Source organism: Homo sapiens, chromosome 13, assembly GCF_000001405.40.
Source record: "Homo sapiens chromosome 13, GRCh38.p14 Primary Assembly".
Classification (NCBI taxonomy): Eukaryota; Metazoa; Chordata; class Mammalia; order Primates; family Hominidae; genus Homo; species Homo sapiens.
In genome coordinates this window covers 69,700,352-69,712,670 of record NC_000013.11, presented here as the reverse complement: position 1 = coordinate 69,712,670, position 12,319 = coordinate 69,700,352, and the positions used below count along the sequence as shown (strand labels likewise).

Genomic DNA, 12,319 nt, shown 5'->3' with positions numbered 1-12,319 from the left:
AAATATGATCCTAAAATTTAAATAAAAGTGAAAAGGGTCCTAAGTTCCAAGACAACCTTGAAAAACTATATATAAAGGCTTATTATTAAATTATTTTAACTAGACATTGTAGTAACAATACACTATAAATAAATAGACAAATGGAATAGATTTGTGTTCAGAAACAAAATCACACATATAAAGAATCTTGATTATGGCAAAGGAGAAACCAAAGAGGAGTGAGGAAAGGCCACCAGTATGACAAATGTGGCTGGGTGATTTGGATATCTCATGTGGAAAATTGTAGTCTTACCCTCTATTGCATATCACATTAAATATCAACTCACGCTGGATTTTAGATTTAAATATTACCCATAAAACAATAAAGCTGTTAGAATACAACACAGGAGATCGCCTTAAAAAAAAAAAAATGAGGTGTGAAAGACTTCTTAACCTGGACCTACATAGGATCATCTATAAAGAAAATATGACAGTAAAATGTCTTCAGAAGATACCATTTAGAGGGTAAAAAGTTGTTGGAGAGTGGGGAAACTATTTGCAATACATATACCAACAAAAGTGTTGTTTCCAATATATAGGCAAATTCTAGATATCATTTTTAAAAGAACAGAAAAACTAGGCAGAAGATTTGAACAAGAACTCTTCAAGAGGTGATATCCAAATAGGCAATGACTACTGGGAAAAAAAATGATTGGATGGCATTAGTCGTCAGGGAAATGCAAATTAAAATTACATTATTATACCATCACCTACCCACCAGAAAGTCTAAAATGAAAAAGCACATAATACACATAATACTGCATGTTGGAGAGAATGTAGAACAACTGACATGCTCATTACACTGATGGTAGGAGTGGAGTGTAAATTAACACAGCCTCTTTGTAATACCAATTGTCAACATTTACCACACTTCAAAGTATACACTCTCTTTGACCCAGAAATCCCATTGCTAATATCCTTTAGAAATGCATACGTACAAAAACATCTGAATGAAAATGTTTATTAGGAACATTATTACCGTTATGCAGTTATAAACAAATAATTTGTATTGAAATTAATTGTTTTATATTTTCAGAATATAAATAGTTTTTAAAGTCTAGGAACATTTCTTTTGATAATGTCATGAAACCTGGTAAATGTTGGTTTTCTTTACAGGAAAAAATAAAAGTATTTATTTTTAGCCAACACTATTGTCACTCTCGATTGCTCAATTCACATCTAATTTCTTAAAATTAATTAATATATAGATTTTGTGATTAATGTACTTGAAATCTATGTGCCATTCTTTTGAAGCAGGCTATCCATTCTCACAGCATGGACCTTCATTTATTTCTTTTTTTGTGTCTTTGGTTTTTAATTTGTTTTTGTTTGTTTGTTTTACAGGCAAACCTACTGGACTATAAATCACTTCTTTATTGTTTAATTGCTGTCTATCTAAATATCTCCTGTACAAACTTGGGAAAAGAAACATTCTCAATTCTATTTGTTAAGAAAGTAATGTTTTTATATTTAAAACAATTTTCCTCAAAAATGTTAAGGCCGATTATTATCCTTAAAGTATGAAAATGACACTAATGCTTGAAAAATTAATGGTTTCTTAAAAAATTCAATTTGGTTTTACAAAGAGAAATTAACTTTTATTCTGTGACTATCGTATGCCTTTAACACGTTTTCATTTTGTAGCTAATTTTAACCGCTATATACTGGCACTTCTTTTGCCTGAGGGCTATAAACCTTAATAGAGTCTCTGATACGGAGCTCACACTCTGACCAGGAAGGCCAAGGTAAGATGCAGGAAAGGCAGACAGCCTAAATACAGTAAGACCCCACACCCACCACCTTATTAAAAAAACAAACAAACAAACAAACAAACCTGGCAACTAGAGGCAAAAAATGGCTGCTTAGAATTCAAGTTTTTCAGAAACATAACCTGAAAATGACAGAGTTCACTATTAGTGAATGTTTGGACAATGCTTATACATCTGTAGATTGCTTATTTCATTTTGGGGATAATAACTTTGTATGTCCCATGCTGAGAGGTGAATCCCTGAGTTCCTGAATATAGAAAAATCAATTTAAAGTCATCATTTTGAGAACAAGAACAATGGCTACTGGGAGATTTTAAATCTGTGTGATCTCTTCTCTTCCTAAATATCTGAGTGTGTCTATGTCAGGTCACTCAGATTTTGTTTTGGTTTGGTTTTACTGGTAAAATGTAAATTTAAATATTATTAGCATTACCAGATATTAATTAAAAAGTAGTTATTACACATTTCAGATATGTTACCTACTACTGAAAACAGGCACATCTAATTCAAAGATTTGTATTTTCCAACAAACGCATTAAAATTGTAAAATTACTTTTTAGAAAATTTAAAATATATATGTATATATTTCTGATTGCAGGTTAGTATTTTTTAAATATGTATCAAAATGTAGGACAAATGAGTATTCTTAAAATTTCCCCTGCAACATTTGAGTTTCACTTGAAGAACTTAAACCTTTGGAAATTAGTTTATTATTGCTTAGCACACTAACGTTTGCTGTTTTCTCAGTTCTCATGACCTATTAAGTATATATATATACTTATATTTGCAACATGATATAAAAAAGTATATATTTGCAACATGATAAAGTCTGCTTTGCAGACAATATTTAACATAATTCTATAAAGCTGAATAATAATTAAATGAGGATAATATGAATTCAGAAAAACTGCTTGTGTGACAGGATGGTGACAAAATCCAGACTGTATTCTACATAAATTATTCACTTTAAAGTTATTTGTACTAGAAAAATTTTCTGCCAAACAAAAAGCAACTGATACAATTAACTCCCCTATAATCATTACCCTGCTTCAACAACGATCACAAATTTGTTCTTATTGTTTCATCCATTTTTCTGCCCTCTCTGTCCTTCCTTTTTTCCCTAAAGTTTTGTAGAGAAATTTCTGAACATGTTTTCAACCCAAAACATTATTGAATTATTCCAGAAACAAACAAAAATAATGACTTTATTTTTTAATGTAACTCAATGTTATTATTCTGCTAATAAAAACTTCAATAATTGCTTATTAAAAGGTAATGCTTGGGTTCTCACTGATATTCCAAAATGTCTCAAACATTTTTTAACAGTTGGTCTGTTTGAATTAGGATCCAAGTAAAGCCTACTCACTATATTTTGTTATATTTCTAACTCGCATTTAACTTAGTTACTTCTTCCTAATTATTTACTCTTTATCTTTTGCTATTGGTTATTAAATATTCAGTCAGTTACTTTATAAAATATTCCACATTCTGGATTGAACTATTTTCTCCCTTGTGGTATCTTTTATTTTCTGATGTTTAAAAATCTTTGCATATTTCAAAATGCTTGTGGAAAAGGTTTAAATATTTTTAAAGGAGATTTTGATGGCATAGGTTGTGTACTTGTGTTGGTGTGTGTGTCTATGTATGTCTGCATCTATCTGTGATGTTTTGTGTTTATTAACTACACAACTAAAAATTAAATTTTTATGTGCTGGGCAGCCTGTGTTTCAAGGTGATCCTGGTTTTCTAGCATTCGACCAGCGCCTCATTTTACACATCATCTTGGCAATGCACAAACCCCCCAACCACAGTGTGCAAATTCACATCACATTGTGGGTAATATGAATATTCTCTGTGAAATATAAATTCCAGATCTTCTGTAACAACCTTATTTATTTTCAGCAAAGTATAGGTATTTTTATTTCTTCATTTGTTTTAGGAGTCTATGAGTTAAAAATTGAATGGGTGAAAAAAATTGGAGCAGGAAAACAAACTAAGAATTTATTTGCTGTGTTTGTCAGAAAATCCTTTCTCACAGTTTTATTTTATATTCATTCTTCTGGGTTCTTACCACCCTTTTTGTTTTTGTATCTGAACCTGCAATTGTGGGCCAAAGGCAAAGGTACGGTTTCTTCATTCATTCAGAGTACATTCATTAAAGGAGTCTTCAGGGTTTTGCTACTCAAAATATAAAATATTTGTATGTAGTATATGGTTATCAAATTTTCTTGAAAATAAATTTTTTGTTTAAATTTAATAACAATAAGTTCAGTCTTCTGACTTTGATCTCTTGAATTACTAGTCTTTCCCTCACTGTGAATCCTGAGCAATGTCACTAAACCCAGTTGTGTTCATGTTATAATTATTTCTCCAAGTTTCAAAGGCTATTTTTCTATTGAATAAACTGAAAGTACCTTCCTACCCAGGGAATCAAACATCCCATAAGCTAATCAAAACTTACGTCTTGAGGCACACCATTTCCTCAGTCTTTCTTGAACTTAGTCACACTACTTAACTGTTTCCTCAAAGCGGACCATGCATTAAAACAAAAAACAAAACAAAACAACAACAACAACAAAACACTACAGTTATTTTTGCACAAATCTTTCCTTTTTTTTCCTAGCAAATTTAGGCTAGACTTTCAGAACTGGTTTAAAGGAAACTTCATCTGTCGAGTATTCCACAATGCTCCCAGATTTTTAACTATTTCTTCTGCTTCATTACCATAGGAGTCTGCATACATGTGTTTTAAATACCCTAATTCTACTGTGGATAATAGTTATTTATATATCTGACACTTTTTTGTAGAAAGACATCATGACATTATTTTTGTTGAATGAATCTGCATTCATCTATGAGTCTGAATACATTTTTAAAATACCTTAAAGTTTAGAAAGCTAGACATAATGGATGTTCATTCTAGAATACCTGCTCAAATGATTGAGCCTTTAGAGAAAAAAAAAGGTAGTTTCCTTTTTCATGACAGGCTTTGTAAAAAGTAAAATTTTTATAGTAAAAGTTGAATGTGATTAGAATATGTTATGTACTATTGTCATTGAATTTTAGATATGATCCCAAAACAGACACTTGGACCATGGTGGCTCCTTTGAGTATGCCCAGAGATGCTGTTGGGGTCTGTCTCCTTGGTGACAGATTATATGCTGTTGGTGGCTATGATGGACAGACATACCTCAACACTATGGAATCCTATGACCCACAAACTAATGAGTGGACACAGGTAAGATTGTCATCAGCATAATTCACTTCAAGGATAAGAATTTATTTCATTTACTTTCTGTGGAGGAGGGGTATACAAACAGTAATCTAGTCTAATTACCCTAAACCAAAAATGATTGTTTTTATCCAATATTGTGTTGATTTTGTAAAAAGTTCATTATACATTCTTGTGTACTTTTATTACTAAAATACCAATAAAATGTATATTAAAAAGTGACATACATACTTAATAAGATTTTCATTTTCCACAACAAGAAACAGAATCTGAATTTGAGTTACCTGAAGCAAAAAATAAAAGTGTAATATATTGGTTCACAAAACCTTAACTTATAATGTTTGGTTTTAGAAACAATATAAAGGCTGCAGAAATCAACCTTCCTGGCATTCATTTTTGTTACTGCTTATTAGGTCCATTTTTATCTGTTGCAGAGAGAATTTTTCACCTGGTGGTGCTGCTGGAAAGTCCAAGTAGTAATCCCCACAGCCATAAACAGAAACTAACCTTTTAAAAATCCCAGTTCAATTAAAAGAATAAACAGGAAAGGGCTTTGCATAGCCTGTCATGTAGTGAGTGCTCACTCCTTGTCAATCATTTTGTCCAGGAAGTTGGAGTAACATGACTGGTTTATCTTAGGTGAGGCATTATGCCTTACATACACACTGTAGTTAGAGACTCAGGATCATGCTAGAATGAAGCAGCTCCCATTGTAATCACATAACTAGAGGATGTGTGTTGGTGTGTGTGTGTGATGGGAAGATGAGGCCAGGGCAAACTAATTACAGTGAAAAACATCTTAGCTGCATAGCTACTGTGGCCTTGCTTATGATGGAGGGAATCGATACACTCTGACTTGTGTCCTTACATATTAGATTTCTCTTTACTTTCATTCTTCTCCAAATCTCTCAATATTTCTATTATTTCTCGCTTTTACCAGAAATCTAAAAGTAAGATACTGTTCAAATAAATAGTTTCCATCTAGGAGTGCAGTGCAGCTCTAAAGCTTTATTTAATTGAAGCAGAATAATAACCACATCTCCTCATATTGCCTCAGTGGGTGGAAGGATCTGATTTTGGTCAAAGAAATTGACTACAATTTATCTAAAGAACTTGAACACCTGATTAAAGTACATTTGTTTTAAAGATATTTACTTTTAATGAAACATGATTTCCTTGATTTTGCAAGTTTTGATGGTATGCATTCAGCAACAATATTTTTTAGTCAGACTAACTTCGGAGTACAAAACCAAATTCCTAATGGCTAGACTAAGGTATCTGCATTATGAATTTCTTCTCCTCTAAAGGAAAACTCTTGACTTCACCAAAAATAGGTACATTTAGCCAAGTAAGTAAAAAGAAGGAGTAGAGAAAAGAAGGGGAAATATCAAGAGATCTAAGTCTTGTTATTTTCTACATTTTAATTGCTAGAGAAGAAGCATTTCTTATTCAGAGAGCACTGTATGTAAAAAAAAAATAAAAGCAAGTAATGATTGCTTTTCACATTATTGCACTAAAATTTCGAAGGATATATTTTGACTGTACCTTTCTGAGTCCCTAGTGTTTCCAAAGCAAACCCTGCATGCATTAATTAATGATTGCTGACTTGCTAAGGAAATGTACTAGTTAAATGGTGTGTATTTTAAATGTTCCACTTAAAAGAACATTAAATAAAGGAAGTTTATGTTTATATAAATGATGTAATATAATATCTGAATACATATTTATAATAAAGAGACATTATGCTTATCATCCTCTAAAATTGAAATCAAAACAATATATGTAGTAGGTAGTAATAGGTAAAAGACTCCTAAAGATCATTTTCCTTCATCTGTATTTTATTATACTTTTTTGGATCATATAGTATTTTACAAACAGCAAAGTGGCATTTAAAATATTTTATAACAACTTTATTTTAATACAGTAAACATTAAATTTAAAACTGTTAAGTTACTTTAAGATTTTGCTTCTGTATCTTCTCATTATTTATATTTTTAAGACTCTCAAGGGATGAGCAGCCAACCCACACAAAATCCCTTTAAAAATTTTCAGGATTCTAGCCTACTTGAAAAGTTTTCCATATTTGCTAAATTCCTGTCACTTTCACTCCATATGTCCTGTAAGTGGACTAAATTGGTTATTCCATATAATATTAGCAGCCACAAATGGCTGATTATTAAATAAGCAAACTATATTAAAATATCCAAATATGTGAATATTTGGAAAAAAACTCAGTTTAGCTTGAGTTGGAAATAGATTAGGAATCGATTAACAGTTTTGTGCTTTTGTTTTACAGAGAATGCATACACACACCATATGTATAGATACACGTGTGTATCTATGTATGTTTTAAATAAATTTGACTTTTGTCATTGAACACCGAGCTTATTTTTTGTGTTTGATTTGAAAAAAATAATGCACGTGCTTCAAGACATAAAGAGAACTTTATTCCATTTCTCCTAGCCTAAGTAAAATTGCCCTTTAATAATGTATTATCTTGGTATACTGCCATAGTACTATCATGCTGCATTCATCTACAGGTCATAAGGAATCAAAGACAATGTGTCATTTATTAACCTGTCTCTAAAGACTAGTATAGTTTCTGGCTGGGAGTAGGAGGTAATATGAATGTATCTCAAATAAATTGAGAACTATTGTGCAACTAAGTGTACTTTTTGTGTATGCATTTCATTTATTTGTAGACAATAGATATATAAGATATATTGATAATGATATATTGAGAATTTTGTTACAGAGAAGCCTGGTGAAATATCTACATTCAGCGTTACTTTTATTTCATTGGTTCTGTGGCCAACCTTTTTAGCTTATCATATTACTCATGCTGAAAGGTACAACCCCTGGAGGGAGAACAAAGGCAGATTTTTAAAAATGTATATTAAATAAATCTGGACCAAGAGAAAAGAAGGAAAACTTTTCTTAAACATTGAAAATGTACTTATGTGGAAAAATACCAAATGTTTAAAATAGCATGATTAATTATTTGGTAAGAGAATAGCACTATGATAGAACTTAAGTGCACTGGGCAGAGAAATCTTCTTTCAGGAAATATGTGGAATGAGGCCTGACAAATGAGTAATAGCTAACCAGATGAAAATATGTGGAGTGCTTTGGCTTAAGGAACATCATTGGTAAGAGCCAGAGGAAGAACACGTGGTATGTCTCACTGAGCAAGAAACAGAATTGTTAAGTTTTGAGAGATAGATGTGGTTTACATTATGTAACCTGAGCTATGTGGAAGACTGAATAAATGGATAGAATTAAACTTGTTGGAGAGATATTTAGAGGGCTTGCTGATTCAGATTTAGAGTTGAGTAAGGTAAAAAGAAGGGTCAAGGATTCTATCTTGAACAACTGGATGGAGAGGGGTGTCATTCACTGACATAAGAAACACAAGGGGAATATCACATTTTGTTTTTTGAAAAAACAGAAAGGATTCATTTTCACATGCACACATACACACATGCATCTATAGAGATAGAGGTATAAATGTAGATGAAGATATAAAGTTAAGCTACTCACTCTATATGTAGTCCAGTACACAGTACTGAGTATTGAATGGACATCAGGGAGCCTTTGGGAAAGTTGCCAAAAATACAATTACCCAATATAATCCCATTTCCATTTAGTGATAGGGCTTGTGAACATATACAGTCATGCGTTCCTTAAAAATGAAATACAATCTGAGAAATTCATCCTTAGGCAATTTCATCATTGTGCACGTATTACAAAGTATACTTAGACCAACCCAGATGGTATGGCCTACTACACACTGAGGCTGTATGATATAACCTATTGCTCCTAGGTTACAAAGCTATATAAGTATGTTACCGTAATGAGTATTCTAGGTAATTGCAACAGAATGGTGTTTGTTTGTGTATCGAACATATCTAAACATAGTAAAGGTACTGTAGAAATATGGTATAAAAGATAAAAAGTGGTACACACCTCTTTTATTTAACCTGAATGAAGCTTGCAGGACTAGAAATTGCCCTGGGTGAGTCAGTGACAGAGTCATGAGTGAAAATGAGGGGCTTGGACATTACTATATGCTACTGCAGACTTAAAAAACTCTCTACACTTAGGCTACACTAAACTTATTTTAAAATATTTTTCTTTCTTTAATAATAAATTAACCTTAGCTTACTGTAATTTTTTTTTTTACTTTTTAAACTCTTAAATTTTTAAAAACTTTTTGACTCTTTTATAGTAATAGTTACATTAAAGCACAAACACATTGTCCAGCTGTATAATTTTTTTTCTTTATATCCTTATTCTATGAGCTTTTTTCCATTTTCAAAAAAGCGGTACAACAGGTTTGTTTACACCAGTTTCACCACAGACATTTGAGTAATGCGTTGTGCTTTCATGTTAAGAGGGCTATGACATTACCAGACGATGGAATTTTTCAGCTCCATTATAATCTTATGGGACCACCATTGTATATGTGGTTCATCCATGACCTGAACCTCAAGGATGAAAATACAGCTATGCAGTGCATGACTGTATTTTGTAAATGCTTCTTAAATGACTCTGATGTGAGACAATCCATGAAAATCATCAGATAATAAAAGAAAGACCAGGGAAAGTACATGCATTTTGGAGTCAGGTAAACTTAGGTTTGCATACATTGATGCTGTGGGATTAACATATTGTCTCCTGATACTGTATTCACTCATCTCTCTCATGGAGATAACAGTACAAGATGTGATTACGAAGATAAGAGTGGTGACCTATAAAAATTATTCTTCACACAAATATGTCACGAATATATTCACATGCTCCTTCCCTACTCTCATTTTATGCAATAATTCTATGAGGAAGACAAGTGATGTTACATTAAATTAGCTTTTACAAATAATCCATTAAAAGAATAAAAAATAAATAGCATGTGGATTTTTTTAACCTACAGTGGATGATGGGTAACAATAAATACATTCAAAATAACTGGTAGAAAATGGAGGTAATTTTCATGTTTAGAGCATAAGAATATGTCCTTTTTCAATCAATAAGATAATGCATGTGATTTGAGGCTACTTTGTCTGCAGCTATTTTATTTCTTACATTTTATACACTTTCTTTTCACTCTGAAATAATATCATGTAATTTCTAGTCTACCCTGATATTCTTAGAAAACTGTAATAAAAATTATTGATATCAAAAAGCTCAAATTATCAAAATGTTGGCTTGTCTCCAAAGAATAAATTTTCATTACAAACTCTGTAAAAATTATTGTTTTTAATATATTTCTAACTATTTTCATATTCAGCATTATTAAAAAATACTCAGTTCTCATTTCAGTGATTGTCATAAGATGGAAAATTTTTAATAAGCATATAGCAATTATAATTATGGCCTATTTATGACAAAATATTGAATTTATTTCATTGTATGTCTCTGTCTAGAGTGAATGAATAACACATTAAATTCAATACAATATCTGGGGAAATAACTTCAAAATCATTGCAGTAAGTGTAATAGCTATTTCATCTAAAATATACTCCAAGCTATCACTATGAAATATTATCACAAATGTGTCCATGCAAACTCCAGAATAGAGCTTTGATGGAAACTTTTCTATAGCAGGTTAATTTCAATAAAAATCATTAAATGTTTTATTACTGTTTTTAAAACTCCATAAAAATTGTAGGCCTAAAAATTTTCAATATACAAATCATGGCTTTTTTAAAATGCCATTTTCAGTGTTTTCATTTTTACTGTACTACTTCTGGCTAAAATGGGAAAACAAGCACATTTATTTATGATTTTCATGTAGATAATCTTTTAAAATATAAGTTTTATATTTTTCTATGAAAACTTGTCTTAAGTTGTGTTTCATCTTTTTTAACAGATGGCTTCCTTGAATATTGGGAGAGCAGGTGCCTGTGTGGTAGTCATCAAGCAACCTTGACTTATTGATATTTTACTTGGAAAGATTTTACTTGCTGGAGTGGTTATTTTTATATTGAATGGCAAGAATGAGAACTTCCAGAGATGAAAACTCTTCAAGAACAAGGATCTCTGTAGCGTTACCTACTGATGTTGAAAGAGTTAGTAGATCAAACAGAATAGTAGGAAACAAGAAAACATTAAACTTATACAGGAAAAATGTCTGGCCATATGTTAGTTAGTTCGGGAATGGTTATTGGTAATTTGTTTTGTATTATAGCATACAATAACTAGAGTTACCAAAGGCTTGTTTTTTCTTGAGCAGTTGAAAGGAGAGACCAATATTTGTGACATGGATAGTTTCATGACCACAACTCATTCAATCATTTTATAGTCTATGGCAATATCCAAGAGATTGCCAAGAGTAGAAGACAGAATATTTCATCTGACAGTATCTGATTGGTTTACTGTTTTTCTAATCATATGTGGTCATAACGGGAAGCAGAATTATGCTTTATTCAAACAAACCTGCTTCTGCCTCATTTTCCTAAGCTATGAGAACAATTAGAGAAACAGATTCATGCTTGTATCTTGCATTCAGAAAACAAACTGTCCTACTAATCAAAGCTGCATATCTCATCAGAGATAATGGTTGAATTTTATTGCAACCATATTGGCAATCTGAAACTGGCAAACACAAAGGATTGTTTTCACTAGGCTTACCATTTTGCTTTGCTTTTTTAACACACTGAGCCAAAGATGCAGTGTAATTATTGGGCTTTTGCCTTATGTTGAGTTCAGTGTAAGCATGGAAGCTAGTGATTCTGAATGATATATATATCCATTGCATGTTGAACTCCTTTAGAATTTTGTTCTTAAACAAACTTAGAATTTCAAAAGAAAAACATATGATCCATTAAGTTGGAGTGTTTATGATTATTGCTAGAAAGAAGGCAGACTTCATATTCTCATCGCCCATTTTTCAAACTTGTTACATTGATCTGTACATTATTTTAAGCCACATGTTTGTAATTGTTTAAAACAAAGTGGAAACATTACACAATGTCCTTAATAAATAGGCCCATGTAAATTTTAATTACAATTAATAAATGATCAAAAAATTTGCATTTATCAGTGTATTTTTAATAAATTTTAAATCGAATGTAAGGATAAAGTCAACAAGGTATATACTTGCAGAGACAGGCAATTATATTGTCTGATTTTCAAATTTAAAGAAGTATGTATCTCCATAAAAACATAATACTATGCTGACACCAAATGTAATTTTAATTATTGTTTCTTCTGTATTCACCCACTTGAGACAGTTATCATTGGTGCCCAGAAAACACACATTGCTTAATAAGAGTGCTGA

General features: G+C 31.4%; 1 protein-coding gene across 4 annotated transcripts in view; it reads left to right on the top strand.

The window, feature by feature from the left end:
• The window catches only part of KLHL1 (kelch like family member 1), a 407,856-nt gene extending 395,782 nt beyond the window's left edge, over nt 1–12,074 (top strand). For all 4 annotated transcript variants that reach the window (NM_001286725.2, NM_020866.3, XM_017020678.3 and 1 more), the window contains 2 exons: nt 4,875–5,046; nt 10,910–12,074. In NM_001286725.2, the coding sequence (NP_001273654.1) occupies nt 4,875–5,046; nt 10,910–10,969 (232 nt within the window). In that variant the 3' untranslated portion in view covers nt 10,970–12,074. The remainder of the gene's footprint in view (nt 1–4,874; nt 5,047–10,909) is intronic.
• Nucleotides 12,075–12,319: the final 245 nt, after the last annotated feature.